This window comes from Homo sapiens, chromosome 15 (assembly GCF_000001405.40).
Source record: "Homo sapiens chromosome 15, GRCh38.p14 Primary Assembly".
NCBI lineage: Eukaryota > Metazoa > Chordata > Mammalia > Primates > Hominidae > Homo > Homo sapiens.
Genome location: NC_000015.10, coordinates 96,359,815 through 96,377,739, shown reverse-complemented (window position 1 = coordinate 96,377,739; position 17,925 = coordinate 96,359,815). Strand labels below are relative to the sequence as shown.

General features: G+C 49.4%; 1 long non-coding RNA gene across 1 annotated transcript in view, besides 1 other annotated feature; it reads right to left on the bottom strand.

The window, feature by feature from the left end:
• The window catches only part of LOC101927263 (uncharacterized), a 43,664-nt gene that overhangs the window by 17,277 nt on the left and 8,462 nt on the right, over positions 1–17,925 (bottom strand). Inside the window, exon 4 of the long non-coding RNA XR_007064788.1 lies at positions 5,132–5,331. This is a non-coding gene — a long non-coding RNA (uncharacterized LOC101927263). The remainder of the gene's footprint in view (positions 1–5,131; positions 5,332–17,925) is intronic.
• Positions 14,537–15,386: an enhancer, noted in NCBI's record as "NANOG-H3K4me1 hESC enhancer chr15:96905583-96906432 (GRCh37/hg19 assembly coordinates)". NCBI's record gives its function as "activates a minimal SCP1, AML or CMV promoter by ChIP-STARR-seq in naive H9 embryonic stem cells {active_cell/tissue: H9 hESC(naive)}" and the evidence as "EXISTENCE:reporter gene assay evidence [ECO:0000049][PMID:30033119]".

The following is a 17,925-nucleotide window of genomic DNA, read 5'->3' as shown; positions in this document are numbered from 1 at the left end:
GCTCTTCCATTGGTTTGTCCGTTGATGAAAAACGGATTGAATTTGTGCGCACAAGGCCAAGTTCTATGGTTGCAAAGTAGGAACTGTGTTCCATTATTCAGGTACAAACTCACAAACATCTAGATATTTATAGTTTTTATTCCAATGATTAATGAATGTTTCATGTTCCTCTCTTTTTGTTTTTGTATTCAATAAATACAGCTGTGGGTTGAAGGATGTTATTTGTAATTATTCCATAATGAAATAATAGGACTTCTGTCCTTATTATTTCTTAGGAATATTTGCACTGAGAGTATTAAATTGATGTATTTGTTGTAATAATTATTTAGATTCCTAGATATAGGCATCTGTGCATGAACATAATTCTCCAAAGTGGCAGAGGGTACTATATTGGCTTCATATTAGAATCATGAAAGTGAAGTTGTCAGCTGGGCACAGTGGCTCATGCCTGTAATTCCAACATTTTGGGAGGCCAAGGCAGGAGGACTGAGCACGGAAGTCTGAGACCAACCTAGACAACATAGTGAGACCCCATCTCAACAAAAAATTAAAAATTAACTGGGTGTGGTGACAAGCACCTATATTTCCAGCTACTTGGGAGGATGAGCTGGGAGGATCACTTGGGCCCAGGAGGTCAAGGGTACAGTGAGCTATAATTATGCCACTGCATTCCAGTCTGGGCAGTGGAGCAAGACCCTGTCCAAAAAAAAGAAAAGAAAGAGAAGGAAGGAAAGAAGGAAGGAAGGAAGGGAGGAAGGAAGGAAGGAAGGAAAGAAAGAAAGAAAGAAAGAAAGAAAGAAAGAAAGAAAGAAAGAAAGAGAAAAGAAAGGAAGGAAGGAAGGAAGAAAAATTAGTCATTTTTTTAAGACAAAATTAGTCATTTTTTAAAAGAAATTTTAGACATAGGGTCTCACTATGTTGCCCAGGCTGGACTTGAACTCCTGGGTTCAAATGATCCTCCCACCTCAGCCTCCTGAGTAACTGGGACTACAGGCAAATGCCATGGTACCCAGGTAATCCATTTTTGATAGACTTGCCACCTAGTGCAGGATTGCCAATTGACCGAAAGCTAGATTTCCCATCTTTTGCATTTTTGTCATTCAATCTCATCTGAATCTCTTGTAACAGGCCTCAGGAATCATATTTTAGTATTGATAATAAGAGAGCTTGCTTCTGTCCTTGTCACTGGAGTCCCATAACCCTCAAAATTTGGCCTGTCTTTGAGTCATCTGTTGGTGACTGGATGATATTTGTACAGTACCTCGTCTGTCTGGATACAAAGACACAAGCCAGTATCTCTGAAATGATTGTCAAGGCTAACATGGTCTTTTCAACTCAAAGCAAACAAAAGCTATAAATTTCTTTACTGAAAATGTTTACTGCTCCCTACAGCTATGAACAGCATTAAACATAATGCTCAAAAATGCATTCTATTTCACTTGTGAAGTCCTTTGCAATTTGAATTCTAAAAAGAGAAATCACAAGAGAGATAAAGTGGTGAGGAGAATTTTTTTAATGAAGAATATATTTAGAAAGGAAGAATGAGAAGATATCTTGTCACTGAGACAGTGGGAATTTGAAATTACTCCAAGCCAGGGAGCCAATAGAGTGTCTAAAACATAAGGTAGAATTCAGAGGGAGCTGATCGTGTTTTGATCTCATGTAATGCTTTTCTTCATGCTTGTTTCCAAGATCTAATTGGTGTCTACCTTGGAAAATGTTAACTAATGCAGAGCCATGGTGAAAAGAAGAGCATCAGAACTTCTTGGATGAATTCCTCTACCTACGTAGATCTTGACCTTTCCCTGGGACAGTAACCATAAGATCCTAACTATTAAGAACCCAGGTTGGCTGGGCACAGTGGCTCACACCTATAATCCCAGCACTCTGGGAGGCTGAGGAAGGCGGATCACGAGGTCAAGAGATCAAGACCATCCTGGCCAACATGGTGAAACCCCGGCTCTACTAAAAATACAAAAACTAGCTGCTCATGGTGATGCGTGCCTGTAGTCCCAGCTACTCAGGAGGCTGAGGCAAGAGAATCGCTGGAACCCAGGAGGCAGAGGTTGCAGTGAGCCGAGATCACACCACTGCACTACAGCCTGGCAACTCCGTCTCAGAAAAAAAAAAAAAGAACCCAGGTCATTGCCATTCCCTAAGTTATCTAAACTTTATATGGAAGTCATGGGGCAAAGAAAGAGTAGAGTGGTGAAATCATGTGTCACTGCAGCCAGCAACTCCCCAGGTTCGGGTGATTCTCTCACCTCAGCCACCTGAGTATCTGGGACTACACATGCATGCCACCATGCCCTGTTAATTTTCTATTTTTTATAGGTGGCATTTCATCATGTTGCCCAGGCTGATCTCGAACTCCTGGGCTCAAGCAATCCTCCCACCTTGGCCTCCCAAAGTGTTGGGATTACAGGCATGAGCCACCTTGCCCGGCCAGATATTGTCTTCTTAATCCACTCTTTAGTCTAACTAAGAAAATATCTTGACTAATGTTCAGACTATACATAAAATGACAAATAACAACTACAACGAGAAAACATACACATAAAGATTATGTTACGTTTCAGTCCTGTGAGATTCTGTCATGGCTCTGAAGGGTAGAACGACCAATATAAAGAGCATGATTGAGACTTTACTATCACTCTGAGAAGTGACTAAAGTAACAAATGTGACGGCATTGATTTAAAGCCTCTTGGCCGGTGATTTTCACATTGGGTGCTCTTGAGTTTCTTGGAGGTGACTGTCCAAGGTCAACGGAGAGTACAGAGTTTAACATCTGCATTCAGGCCCTTCAGTTCTGCCAGGCTGGTCCCGCCATAAATAAGAGCCAGTTGGACAATAGCTACTTTATGCAATCCCAATTAAAAACCCCAAATGCAAACATAAAAAGATATTCAGATGCTCCAGCTATCATTAACACAAATTAAAAACCAATATTCTTAAACTTGCATCATGCATTCATTCATAATATACGGAGCTCTTGTGTGACTGGCACTATTCCAGGGGCTGGGAACATAAGTGAATCAGCCGTACTCCCAGCCTCCAAGGAGCTTCCAGCCCGGAGGGACAGAGAGACCCGTAGGGAACTAACCAAAACAGCATGTTTTATCTGTTCTGATAGGCACAAGCACTGAGGAGGAAGCCAAAGGTACCAATATTTCTGGCATTTGTTCGAAGTTAAGAATACATTCTGGCAGGATTTTTTTTTTTTTTTTTTTTTTTTGGCCATAGTTCTCCATGTACTAATCTCTGTTATTTCCACAACCTTGTCTACTTTTATGTGCCCTTCTCTCTGCCTTAAGCCTTCAGGTAAATGTCCAGGACACAAGGAGCTGAATTTACTCACTGTAAATGGAAATCTAAATTTGACATAAAGAAACTCTATCTTCTTGGAAACCATTTCAAATCCACTTCTCTCTTTATTCCCCATGAAACATGACAGAGATAAGACACACCCTAATGAAGAACTGTGTGACAGAACCGACAGGATGGCTCACGCCTGTAATCCCAACACTTTGGGAGGCCTAGGTGGGAGGATCGCTTGAGGCCAGGAGTTCAAGACCAGCCTGGGCAACATAGTAAGACGTGGTCTCTAACAACAACAACAAAAAAATTAAATTAGCCAGGCATGATGGTGTGTGCCTGTAGTCTCATCTACTGGGAAGCCAGGGCAGTCCGGGGATCTCTTGAGCCCAGGGGTTTGAGACTACAGTGAGCTATGATCATGCCACTGCACTCCATCCTGAGCAACAGAGTGAGAACCTATGGTGGTGGTGGTAGGGCGGGGGGACCTACAAAGAACAATGTGAGAAACCTATAGCTTATTTACACAAATCCCAATATCTTTGATCATCCCCCCCAAGAGAAATAAGAACATGGTCTGGGCCGGGCGTGGTGGCTCACGACTGTTATCCCAGCACTTTGGGAGACTGATGCTGGTGGATCACCAGAGGTCAGGAGTTCGAGACCAGCCTGGCCAACGTGATGAAACCACGTCTCTACGAAAAATACAAAAATTCGCTGGGCGTCGTGGCAGGCGCCTATAATTCCAGCTACATGGGAGGCTGAAATAGGAGAATGACTTGAACCTGGGAGGCAGAGGTTGCAGTGAACCAAGATCATGCCACTGCACTCCAGTCTGGGCCACAAAGAGTGAAACTCCATCTCAAAAAACAAAACAAAACAAAAGAACGTGGTCTGACCTCCTCCACCTTTGCTTTGTGCTTCCCTCCAGTGGAATTGCCATTTGTCTGTTGTCTCGCCCTTGCTCTGCTCCTACTTCACCCATCTTCTGAGATCCAAGTCAAAATCATCTGCACGGTGAAGTCTTTCCCAGGCAGTTATTCAAGGCAGGACAGATCACACTCTCAAACTTCCAAAGCTCTTTGTACTAATTACCAGGGTGTATTATATTAAATCATATCGGCTTTCTTGCCTCTCCCTCTCTGACCTAAAAACTCCTTGAGGGCAGGGACTGTGACTTTTCAATCTTTGTATCCACAAGTGCCTGGTACCATGCTGGCCACATCTTGCCTGCTTAATAAGTGGATGTTAAATAAATGCACAAATGAGAACGTTTCCATTTGTGTAGGAGAAGAATTATTCTTTTCACCCACTAGATTCCTGCATTCTCCATGCTACACGTTCGGACTCATGGCCCCACCCCCATTTCCACCTCCTCCAAATTTCCCATCACCCACTTCCCAAACCAGGAAGGTCTAAATCTGGAATAGGCCTGTGGCATAACCAGGTAGACACAGCCGATCTTGACTTTGAATATTTCCCTAGGACAGGCTGACCTAGGCTGACCATCTCCAGATAGTCACACACTTGAATGGCCAGATGAGTAACACACACTTGAATGGTTTATTTTTACAAGCTGAAGATTTGAATGCTATCTCTCACTCTGTTGCTTTGAATCAACAAAATAATAATTAACTAGGTACAATGATTTCTGCTTCACAGTGGCCTTAGGAATATTAGATGCTTAGTCTCATGGAGAGCTAACTTTCGTTTGCATCCAGCCACCAAATTTGAATCTGAGTCACCAGTTTACTTTGTTTCGAATTTTCCCTTCAGTTTGGCTGAACATACAGATGGCTTCCAGTACTCTACTGACCAAAACAAAGAAAGCTGGAGTTGTCTCAACTTTGTGAACCAAGCTTCAAAATTCTGGTTTGCATCAATAGACTCTGTTAGAACCAGCCTGAGCCAGCTACCCAGGGAACAAGGCGTTGACTCCTTGGCATCCTGGCATCCATGTAGGTCCCAGTCATCAAGGATCCTCTCCCAGCAAGGCCGGTATGAGCAGTAGCATACCTGTGAGGAGCAGGCAAAAATCCTTCTCACAGAGGAGAAAAGGACCCCAAACAGGCAGCAAAACAGGTAATTCAGGCAGCCTTCTGAACATTTGTGAAAACCTATGCATGTGGCATTACATCTGAGACAGAAAAAGCATTTGAATCTTTTAAGGCAGTGAAAATTTTGAAGACAGAGTTATGGAATGAAGAGTTGAGGCAATTTGGGGTGGGAGAGGGAATACAACTATCTTCACGTTCCTTGCCTTTCAATCCACCTAATCCCCTCCAACATAATGTATTTTTGAAATAAGAAATGTCTTTGCATATAGCCTTCCCATAGACTTGATTGAAATGTAAAACTTTGTGATATGGATTTTTATTTTTTTGAGACAGAGACTCTATCTTCCAGGCTGGAGTGCAGTGGCGTGATGTCAGCTCACTGCAACCTCTGCCTCCCAGGTTCAAGCGATTCTCATGCCTCAGCCTCCCGAGTAGCTGCGACTACAGATGCACACCACTACACCTGGCTAATTTTTGTATTTTTAATAGATATGGGGTTTTGTCATGTTGGCCAGGCTGGTCTCAAACTCCTGACCTCAGGTGATCTACCCGGCTCAGCCTCCCAAAGTGCTGGGATTACAGGTGTGAGCCACTGTGCCTGGCCTGTGATATGGATTTTATGAGCAGATGGTTTTGATTCAAACCTCGTCTCTGCCACTGATTAGCTGTGTATGACTATGGGCATGTGAGTTGAGTTTCCTGTGCTTCAGTGTCCACATCTGTAAAATGGGGATAATACAACTAATTGTGTCATAAGTAGTTGCTAGAGTTAAATTATATGACAAATAAATGAAGGAGGAGCCTGCCTGGATCACACAGCTAAAAGGTTCTTCAGATAAGAGGTAATACTTGATGCTATAGGTTTTAATATGAGAAGTGATAGGATACAGATATAATAATTGGCCTGATGTGGTTCACTTGTTTCCAGTTGTTTTCCTGGCCCTACATGGCTAATATCAGAATAGCCATGGGCTTTGTTATTTGAATGAATATATATATATATACACATATATACATATACATATACACACACACACACACACCCTAAGACACACCCTATTTACACACACTTGTAGGGTATTTTATATATATGTGTGTGTGTGTGTGTGTGATGTATAGATAATATAAAGATACAGCTATATACAGTTCAGTCTGGGACCAGAGTTGGCGGCGGCCAGAAGGCCTAGCGCTGTTCCATTCAGGCTTGGCCTGTTCCTAGCTGGCTGGGCTTGGTCAGGGCTCTTAACCTCACTGAGCCTCAGTTACCTCAGCAACAAAAAGCTGACTATAGTAGAGGCTGGGACAACTCTCCTGGGATGAGCTCTGCTCTGCCCCAGAGAGAATCTGCATTTAGCCATCCAAATGATCCGATTTATCTCCTGAGTCCTGTCTGGGACCACAGCTGGTGGCCAGAAGGGCCAGCCCTGTTCCATCTAGGCCTGGCCTGTTCCTAGCTGCCTAGGCTTGGTTGGACAGGGCTCTTAAATTCGCTAAGCCTCAGTTTCCCCAGTAGCAAAAAGTTGACTATAGTAGTATTTCTGTCTTGTCGGCGTTGTTAGGCTGTAAAAGAGATAAGGCACGTAAGCGGCTTAGCTTTGAGCAGGGCTCCTGACTTATGTCAGCTCTCCTTCTTTCTGTTATTCTTCCTATCTTTTCCAAAAGAACTTTTGTAGCTGTTGACAATCAACTTTGTTGGCAAACATTAGGACTAGGCTAAATTCGCTCCAGAGGAAAGTCTAGAGATGGGAAGGTCAAAAATGGAAAGGCTTTGATTCTGTCAGGACTGGGGGAGCAGAGATGAGCAGCCAGGATAGATGGAGCAGTGCAGTGAGGTGGGAGCCGGAACTGCTGAGCACAAGCCCAGCCTTGGCCGAGGTTCCGGTTGACGCAGTTCTCAGGTCAGCCAGATCACCGCAGCCTTGCTATCGACCCAATGCGAGCTTGAGGCTTGGTCCCTGAGTCCTTAACGCACTAGGAAGCATTTTCTCCCTCTAGTGCCTGCTAGTGCTCGCCACATTTCAAAGAGGCAGCTGCCAGCCTGTCTCACCTCTCAGACATCAACGTGCAAATCAAAGACTCTGGGGCTCCCCGCAGAGAAAACCGAGTCCAGATGCATTTGGGTGGGACCCGCTTTTTCCCTGCCCACAGGTGAGCCTTAAAACAATCTACCTCCAACACGGCCTCAAGGCCTCCCTATCAAGCCAGAGCTTTGCTTTCTTGAATTCTTGAAGTTATTACCGCCCTCTCCAACTCCACCTCCAACCTGTTCCACTCTGCAGGAAGCCCAGGAAGCCATGGAAGGACCAGACAGCGGGGAATCCTCCCACACCCCATCTTCCGGCACACAGGAAAGGAACAGAACTTTGTTTTGCAGAAAAGTAGATGTAGGTGTAAGTGTCTGGGAGTGGGCGCCGGGGGTTGCAACATGCCCTCCAGCTCTCAGGACCCAAGAGCAATGCTTCAGTTGCCGGACGCCTCCAGGAGCAATGGGCTTTTCGGTTGCAAAACCAACCTTATGTCTAGCAAACCCTAAAGGAAGCTGAAGAATCCCCTAGGAAAAGGGATCAATTGGAGTAATATTGGAGTGTGATGGATGCCAACCCCTCCCCAACCATCTTCCACCCTTCTTACCGGCGCCGACGCCCTGGGGCACACACACACTATAGGTGAATCCCAAACAGCTGTAAGGTTTCCCGACCCTGCCGCTGAGGGCCAGGCCCCACGCGGTTTCCTCCTCTCCAGGACTGTTTTCTCCTTCTCCTTCCCCTCCCCACATCCCCGGCCTGCCCTTATATTGCAATCTCAACTCCTCTGGACAGTACTTTTGAGACACACTTATTTCTACCACGCACCTTGCGGGTCGCTGGGGGTCCAGCGTGGGCGTGGAAGTCTCTGCCTTCTCCGCCAGACCTGCGTGGGCAAGACTGAGCATCCCCAAGTCCATGGAGTACCCTCCGGGCCCAGTGCGCTCGCTCTTCTCAGCAGCACTCTGGACACCCTCCCAGCACTGGTGAGGTGCATTCTAACCTCTTAATTCTTTTATTTCCTTTGAAGGTTTTTTTTTTTTTTTTTTTTTTTTTTTTTTGAGACGGAGCTTCACTCTTGTCTCCCAGGCTGGAGGGCAATGGGGTGTTCTCGGCTCACTGCAACCTCCGCCTCTCAGGTTGAAGCGATTCTCCTGCCTCAGCCTCCCGAGAAGCTGCGATTACAGGCGCCCACCACCACGCCTGGCTAATTTTTTTTGTATTTTTAGTAGAGATGGGGGTTTCACCATGTTGGCCAGGCTGGTCTCGAACTCCTGACCTCAGGTGATGCGCCCGCCTCGGCCTCCCAAAGTGCTGGGATTGCAGGCGTGAGCCACCGCACCCGGCCTCCTTCGCAGCCCTTTTAAGCTAGCCGTGGGGACCCGATTTGGGGCGGCGGTGTGGGAAGACCGTCTTCCCTCCGCCATCCAGCCACTTCTTTCACCCTGTTGAGCCCCTGGAGACCGCACCCAAAGCAGTGCTGAAATTCGGGAGCCCGTGGCTGTCCTGGGGAGCGTCAGAGTCTACGGTTTGCTCTCTGTGCCTGTGGAGCTCTGTGGAGACCAAGAAGGGTCTACAAGACGCGAGGAGTAGCAAAGCAAAGGATTGGGCCCTCTTGTCCAAACGAGAACCCTGCTGAGGGATAGAGCAGAGCAGACAACGGGTGAGAGAAGTGAACAAAGGTTTGGCAGGCCAAGGAAAGAGGCCAGAGGCTGTGTCTGAAAAACCGAGGTGGCGGATCCTGCAGTTCCCAGGTTCTTCCCCCGCTCGCAGAGCGGGAAACCGGGGCTGAGGAGATGGATCCCAGCGGGACTGGGCGCCTGGGGCGGGGCGGGGAGCACAGGACTGAGCGTCTCACTCAGCAAGGAGCCCCAACGTCGGGCTCCTAGCTCCGGGCCAGGAAGCTTTCCCAGTTCCTTAACGCGAGTATGTTTCCGGAGAGGTCTTGCCAAGGCTGGGCAAAGGGGGTGGGGAAGGACGGCGGGCAGCTTCCCAGCGTCCAAATCAACGGAGAGAGGGAGGGCAGAGCCCTTGGTCGCGCGCAGTTGACTCCCGACCACGTATTGATTTTCTATGTCTCTGCAATTTCAGGTCCTACCCTGTCCCTTATTCACGTTCAGCTTCGGGTTCTGGCCCACTAAGGGTCCCCAGTACCCCTAGGCAAGCCCAGGGACACCGAACGCCCGGAACGAATTCACCTGAAAGCAGGTTCCTCGAGCCCCACCCGAGGACCCAACCAGCCCTGTGTCCCCATCCCCTTGGGGCAGCTCTATCTAGCAGGCAACCAGTGACTCCAGGAGGAGCTTAGGCAACTGCTGGCCAGGAACGCAACTTTTTTTTGAAACGCATTGCTGTCCCCTTGCAAGGTGTTATTACAGCAATTCAATTACAGTAAATGGCGCGCATCGTCCTCGCAGCTGGAAAGTCGGTAACTAACTGTGACCGAGCGGTGTAAAAGAATCCGGCTAGACAAACACTACTGTTATTTTCCCCCTTCCTTCTGAATTTTCTCCTTTCCGTCTTCTCTCCGTATTAATTGTGGCTCTACCACAGGTTAATTAACTCCAAAGAGCTTAGTCTATCTGGACAGAAACACACTGAGAAATTGGCAAGAGATCCTAAAAAATGGAACGTGGCGTCAAAAAGATTGCCCGAAGTTCCTCGCGTTCCCTTCCGTGGCTAAAGTCCTTGCCTTCAAGGAACTCAGCTTCAGTCCTCTGTGGCAAAGACTCCTGGGGGTGTGGTCATTCAGGCTTAGATCTGGGCTTAGACCATGAAGCCTCCTATGGGGAGTGGTGCCCACTAAATCCCACTTGGCGTGGTCTGCAGGCATCCAAGGAAAGGTCAAGTCTGCTCCTGATGTGTTTCCACTCCTAGTTCATTGGCGATACCTCGCCACTTGTGTTATAGCACGAGCATTTCATGCTAAACTTTAAATAGCATTCCATGAAATTAATACCAACCAAAGGGGGAAAAAAGGCAAGATGGGGGTTGGGGAGGTGGCGGCTGGCTTTCCAGGGTGGCGGTAAATCGTGACTGTACTCCATATGTTAAAATCCGGAGGGAGAGCTGGAGGAAGGGGAGAATCCCTCACCAGTCAGCCTCTGCAATCATTTAAATAAAGGTAAAATTAACATTCGCTCCTTTGAAGTTAGAGTGAAGATGGCTTAAAAGAGGATTTTATTTAGTGGGTGTCATATCAAAACGAGAAGAAAGGCGATGCCTCGCCTGGAGATTTTAGTTTCATAATATTTTTTAAAACATTATTTTAGAAAAGGCCAAAATGGCAACTCAGGTGTCCCACCGCGTTCTCACGGTCCCCTAGGGCTGTGGACCTCTCCCTACAGGCACGGAATGCTCAGTTTTCTCACGCTGGGGGTAGAACAGCCAGAAGATGCCTCCGCAGGTTCCTTTCTCCCAACTCTACATTTGACTAGGACCCGGAGTGTGTTTGTGTCTGACTCCTGGAGGGGGCAGGACCCAGGGCACTGCGCTTGGGACCTGGCCTGGGCCACGGCTGCCCAGCCTCTAGCCCCCCTTGGCGGCCCACCTGCGCCTGGCGCGTTTCTTGATACCAGTGGCGCCCCCCACAACCAGCGTGTCGGGTCAGGAGGGGTAGAGCAGATAAGAAGGTTGCACTCGGGGTGTCCCGACTCGGGGCCAGCCAGACAGGAGCGAGCTGGGGCCCAGCCCTTGATACAGCTCCTGACGGCCCCGGAGCAGACTGTGCGGCGACCGCCCTGCCCCAGGCGCACCGGAGAGCTCTAGCCCTTGCGCAGCCAAAATGGTTAGGGTTGTTTTCGGCTTTGTTTGCTTTTAAATCTATAGGCGCCGTTTCATCTCAAGCTCTGCTCAGCCTCTGACCTCCTGTTCGCAATTCTCCTCTGGACCCTGACTTTTTTGGAGGGGGGCGGGTTAAAGTGAGAATGGGATGGAGAGAGAAATGTTACTCGCCTGTCCTTGGGTCCCAGGGCTGGCGATGGCAGGAAAAGGGGACCCATCACTATAACCGGAGGTCGCCGGCCGCCTGTGATCTGGGGTTGCCGCCCTCGTCCCCCGCCCCCTGGAGTTCCTGTGTAAAAGTTTCAGAAAACACATCCCGCACAGGTCCCTAACCGGGTCCAAGTTGCCTGGGTCTCGCCGCCCTTCCTGGCTGGAGAAAAACCCTGTTTTGTGAGCAAAGTAGACGGCCCTCAAGACCGCTTCTTGTAGTGTTTTTACGGAGGCTCCTGCCAGCTCTGCATTCTCACGAAGAGTTATCCCAAGACCTCCCACATCCACCAGAGGAGACCTGAATCCTTCTCCGGCCTAGTTCAGGGGACATCCCGGGCACGCAGCACGCCCGCGGTGGCGTGCATCCCAGCGAACCCTAGCCAGGCTGCGCGGCCTCCCTGCTGGGGCCAGTTCGCGGCTCAGGCTCCGAGGCGGCACTGTCCCTACTCGGCCGAGGGTCCCCTCCTACCTCTCCCTGCTCCCTTGCGGTCATCCTGTCGCCCGTTTTTCTCTTCTGGTGCTTCTCCTGGACACCAGGACGGGCCCCACCGTATTTACTGCACAAAACCCCACTTTTAAAGCCCGGTTAGGGGCCTCCGTCCTTTGTAGGAGACTTAGAAAAAGCGAAATTGAGTGCCCCGTGGGTGGCCCTTCTACGAAGAGAAGACTCTCCTTCGTTTGCGCCTCTGCTCAAGTGCTTTAAAGTTACACTAAGGACCTGCTCTCTATTCCTTTACTGTGGACGGAGTGGGGTGGGGGCGGGGGCAGGGGGAATGGAGAAGCCGATCTGAGGATAGTAGCTGCTCTGTAGACACTGGCTGCTCTCCTCCAAAGCTCCAGGGTGGGAATTTCTCCACCAGAATTGCAATGAGGGTGTCTGGGAGGTTTCTGAATGTAGGACTTCAGAGGCACTCACATTCCATTTCACCTCCCCAGCCCTCATCCTGGAGTCACCAAACTCAGGGTGCCAGGGCCAAGTTGTCCTCCCTGGCTTGGCATACCAGAGCTGTTCATCTGGGACCTGTTCAGCCCGCCAAGCAGTTTTTGGGGTTCTGCCTCTGCCTCCAAGTCCTGGTGTTTGTGGTGGCTGCCCCAGCCTTGCAGAAGTGGGAGGAGTAAAAGCTTTGAGCTTATAAATCCACTTAAAGCAACTATTACACTTTTCCCTTTCTGACCATGTGTGAAACAACATATATTATTAACAACTTGAGTCTATAATTCAGGAAACAGGAGATATTTTTTATACAGGTCTCTTCTTTCTCCACTGTAGGGACCCTCCTCAGCAGAGATCTCCTAATATATGCAGTTAAGGAGAGGTTTCAGGAATCCAACATCTGCTCATGTTGGTTTGAAAGTTAATGAAACTCGACTGTAATTCAGATTATTTCCAAAAGTATCTTGTTCATTTCTCTGAAACAGTCAGGTGAAAATTACAACCTGCAAACTGATGCTAAGTTGGTCCTTTTTCTGCTCACCCTAAAGTTGGCCAAACCAATAGCAAATAATTTTAGATGATTCAGGTTTTGGCATAATTGCCATCACATCTTGTTCCCAAGGTGTTCTCCAGTTGGTCCACTGCCTGTCTACCAGCTCCTCGGCATCTACTCAGCCTGGTTCCATTCTAGAGTTCCTTAGTTTGATTTGGTCTCATAGAATGCCCGTCCCCAGGTCCTCTTATTTCCCACCCCACCCCACCCCCACCACCACCAGATCAATCACAGAGACAATTGATTTTGTTGTGTCCTGTTCAAACCAGAAAGTGCTGACATCTTGGGCAGTGGGCAATAACTCTCATGGAATATCAGACAAACAGGCCAATGTCCGGATTTAGGGATCAAAGTTGTGTGTGCACACATATATGTTGAAGTGCGTATGCATGTAATCACGTTCATACACCTGACTGTGTATACAAATGATAGTGTTGAGAAATTGAGACAAATTTTCAATGTAATGCCAGAGTATAAACTGAGTGAGAAATCATATTAGTCTGGATAAATGAAGAGGTGAATCACACCTAAATGTCTAGGAGTAGATCATTAATTATGAAATTCGAGACTCTTTTGAGCATCCTATGCTTGCTAGAAATGAACCATCTTTTTTTTTCTTTTATTGAAAATAAGACCCTAAATTCCTTTTGACTGAAAGGAAGTTATCAGACAAGATGCAATTTTCTCTTTCTTTACTGACAACTCTGTCATCCAAAGGATCACAGCCATGTCAGGGTGTCTGTCTTAGAAAGAAAAAAAAGAGAGAGAGAGAGAGAGAGAGCTAGTGAGAGAAGCCCTGATGCGCGTGGCCATCTTTGCATCAAAATTTTCCAGACCTCTATTTTTGATTGTGATCCCACTGATCTGAGTTTGAAATGCGAACGCAGTGAAGCCCCTAAGCCTTCAATCGTGTGAAATTTTCAAAAGATCTCTAGAAGCAATCTCAGGCTGCCTGACCCCTGACAGGCACCGATCTCTTTATTCCTCTCTCTGCCAGCACTTCATTTGTCGGAATATCTTTCAGATTTGCACCTCCAGATGACAAACCTGAGTGTTTATTATGTGTACATGAATCGGAAATCTTCAAGCCCGGACAAAAGCACCATTTTAAACATAATATTTAATTTCCCAGCCTAAGTGTCTGCTTCTTTATTTGCTTTTCATTAGCTTAAATATTTTTTCCAAGTCTCCCCATGTGTCACTTTGATATTTAGATGATTCTCTCTTCTAATCGTCATTTCCCCCTTGAAAAATCCCCTGTTGCCCGCGACTGCTGGGCTCACACGGCAACGTCACCGTGCGGCCGTTGGCGAGGACTCAGCTCGACGCACAGCAGTTCAGGGAGCGCGGGGTGGGGGGCGCGTCTCCAGACAAGGTAAGGGCCGGAGGGCTGCCAAAGAAAGACTTGCTTTTTAAGCCAGAGGCCAGGGCTGGGCCCAAGGCAGTGAAGACTTTCCCATCTCACTCCACCCTTCTCCTTCAGGCCTTTTTAATTCCCCGTATTACTTTTGAAAAAAAAAACAAAACCCTCAGGCGTCTTGAGGACGTGCTGGGGGCAGTTTTAGCTGACTCGAGTGTGCTCAGCTGCTGGCCCTCTGAGCGTGGGCGCCAGGTTTAGCCATTCCACCCGAAACAGTCAGACTCATTCCTGTCTCGGGACTTGTTTTTCCGCCTGCCTTTCTGTGGGTACCTAAATCCTGGGAGCTTGAGGGCACTAGAGGGAAAGGGGATGGGGGACGCTTCTTGAAAGAGGGCTGCTTTGTGAAAATGCCCCATGCCAAATAATTCCAGGGACAAGCCTTTGGGGTCGAGATGCCGCCCACCCCTCCCCCAACCTCAGCCCCAGATCGGGGCTTTAGAGCCCAGCCCAGCACCCAGGTGGACTGGGTTGAGACAGGGACGAGCTCCAGCTCTGCAGAACCCAGGGGTGACTCGCCACTCTCAAGCACAGTCCCAGGTCGAGAGGTGGTCGGCTGAAGCCTGAACCCCCCTCCCTGTGTGTTTGGATGGGCCGTGTTGCTATGATTAACTTATTAAACCCCCTGATAATTATTTTAATTTGACTCGAAAAAATACTTTGGGCGGCGTTGTGATGTGTTTGTATTTATCCATCCCCCCTATAAAACCTGTGTTAAAACAAATGTTACTTTTCTCTCTCTGTACATAGACCCTCCCTTTTTGAAATAGACCGCAGGGACTGCCATTAGATCGAATGGCAAGTCTTTATGGAAAGTGTTTTGCATAATTACATACCAAAGCCAGAACAGTCACCTCCACATTTTATGGGTCACAAACCATCAACAATTGCCACATTATTGTCCACGAAACCTTAGTCCCTTCATTGATGGAGCGGACTCCACTGCGCCTAATCTAGAACGGGAGAGGATGGAAATTTCTTCTAATAAGAACCTGAGAAGATTATGTCCCCACTGACAACGTGTTTACATATAGTTATAAAGTTCAGAGGACCGACCGAGAGAGGAAAGGAAATCGGACTAGGCCTGATTAAGAACGGCGCATCGGTCTAATATAGATAGCGCATCAAAAGCAGCGGCTGAATGCCTCTCCCCTTTTCAGATCCGACCCCTTTTCTACCTTTGTGATGCAGTAATTAAGATATTCTTATTTAGACAGACAGCTTCTCTGGTAACTGAATAATATTAGCTCCTTTGATGTCAAACTTTTGACAGTTATCACACCAGCACTGGGCAATTTAGCACAAATGCCCTCCAAAAAAAAAAAAAAAAAAAAAGATAGAAAACCCCCATCGGCTTTGAAGAAATCTAATAAGTGTGATCCTTATCACCAAATGATTTAAATCGCCGCCGACAGACCGCCTAGCTATAAATTACATTCGGTGGTACATAATGAAGCCGAATTTGGGTTTTAGCTCATTGAGGAAGCATTGGTGGAAAGTGGGGCCGGAGCCCCACACTTAACAGCTCCCCCATTCCAGACACCCAGAACTGCTGCCCAGTGCGACAGAAAAACCCCACAGTCTACCGGGTCAGGGCAGGGATGGAGCAGAGGTGGGGGCAGGTGCGGGCAGAGCCCACGGCCCTTGCCCCAGCTCCGGAGAGTCCGGCAGGACCAGCCACCTACTCCCGGGATGAGCCGTCGCTGTTGCTTTCCGAGCTTGGTCACCAAATTTGGGATTTGCCAGATGGCAGGATTATCTTCGCGTCTGTTATATTATGTGTGTGTTGAGGGGGAGCGGGGGTGGAGAGCGAAGACAGGGAAGTCCAGAGACCGCGCTGGTTTCTTTGAAATACACGCATGTTCCCTCTTTGCCCACTCCCGGGCTGCCGCCGCCGGGACCCTTACCGGAGTTCCTGGCACCTCGGAGCGGCCCCACGGCAGGCAGCAGGCGGAGCCTCTGCCACCCCTGCCCTTGGGTGCCGGCCCCCTGCCCGCATCTCTAGACCTGGGGCCCTGTGCCCAGATGCGAGGAGCTGGGGTTTGGGAGTGCGAATGTGAGAACCTCCCCCAGAGGAGAAAGGGGGGAGGTATGAGAGTTGGAAGGGAAGGGGGCAAAGAGGGCGGGTTAGGAAGGATGGGGCTGTGACAGTGGCACCTGGAAGGCATTGTCCTAACGAGCGACACCTGTCAATCTCCGCTCCGGGGTCCCGGGGCCGGGGGCGGGGAGGCCGCGGGTCTCTGTGGTGATGTCATCTCAGCGTCCTTTCCCGGCTAAGGGCGGGAAGGCTGGGAGGGGCGCGGAGCTAGGAGAAGGATGGGGGAGGAAAAGAGAAAATAAACAGAAGTCGCTCTCACTCGCCACATCCTCGGTTCGCAATTTACAGGGAAATCAATAATCCAACTTTAATGTTATTTCTAATCTTGATTGATCGTCTTGCCTTTTCACTGGGGATGGAGAAATAGGGTTGCTGCATCTCATCCCACAACCCACACAATCGTTGGGGAAGTCTTGTGGCCCCAAAGCTCTAAGTGACCGACTCTTCTAGACCCCGCTCCCCTCTTTCCCTGGCGGTTGTTCCAAGCTTTAGGCTTAAAGAGGAAACACTTGGAGATGAGTTTTGAAAGTCTTCCGATATTGCAGGGGGCAGGGAGGGGAGTTAATTAACGCTGGGCTTGCTCAGCGAGTGGCAGAGGGGACTCGGCGTGGGTGGGCGGGCCAGGTGGAACGCTGGGGAGCGCAGTGCGGGAGGCTTGTGAGCCCGAAGCCCCTGCTTGGAGGCCCAGGCTGGGGGGAGGTGGTCTGCGGTGGCCTGGGCCGGGGGTGCGGGGCGGGGGTGTTGCTGAGGTACCCCAGGGAGTCCCCCAATGGCCCTAGAGAAATTCTGATCTCCCACCTACTGAGTCCCCACCCCCACCCCCACCCCACAGTGCGCCACCAACCTCTCCCTCTTTCTATTCTTTTCGGTCGAGCTAATTAGCAGCCTGCCAGCGGCCTGATTTATGGAAACGTTCGGGCGGGCGGAGACCCGCCGCTAGCCTAGCCAGGCTGCCTCGGGGCGGAGTGGAGGAGGAGTCTCGACCGGCCCCCTCCGTTGAGTTTCCCTTCTCGGGGTCGGAAAATGGAAGTTGCTGGTCCCCTACCGCCGTCACCCGGGCCGGTCTAGGAGACCCCCACGCCCTCGCTGCCCCAGCCTGGGGTGCGGGAAGCCCTGGCGCTAGTGGAGAGGACAGAGGCCGGTGGCCACACAGCCTGCTGCGGACACCCGAGGCCGCCAGGTTCCAGCTCCAGCTAACTCTGAGGGCGGGCTGGACGCCGATAGAGCTCGAGCCTCCTATGCCCGAGCTGGGCGCCTAGCTTCCCGCATCCAGGTCCCCAGAGAGGGGAAATTAGACCTGCAAGGGGAGGGGTGCTGCCTGAGATCGGCTTCACCTCTCCGCACCCCTCCAAGGCCGCAGAGAGTCACTAGGCCAGGGTGGGGCCCAATGAAGCCACCGGCCCTGCTGGCCCGGGAGTAGCTGGCTAGCGCCTGGGGAGGGCGAGGTTCTCTCCACTTTCCCTCCCGTGCACTTTCTCCAGGGGCGCATCCTCAGAGGGCTCCTCTGAGTCAGAGTCCTCAACCAAGAGTTGGA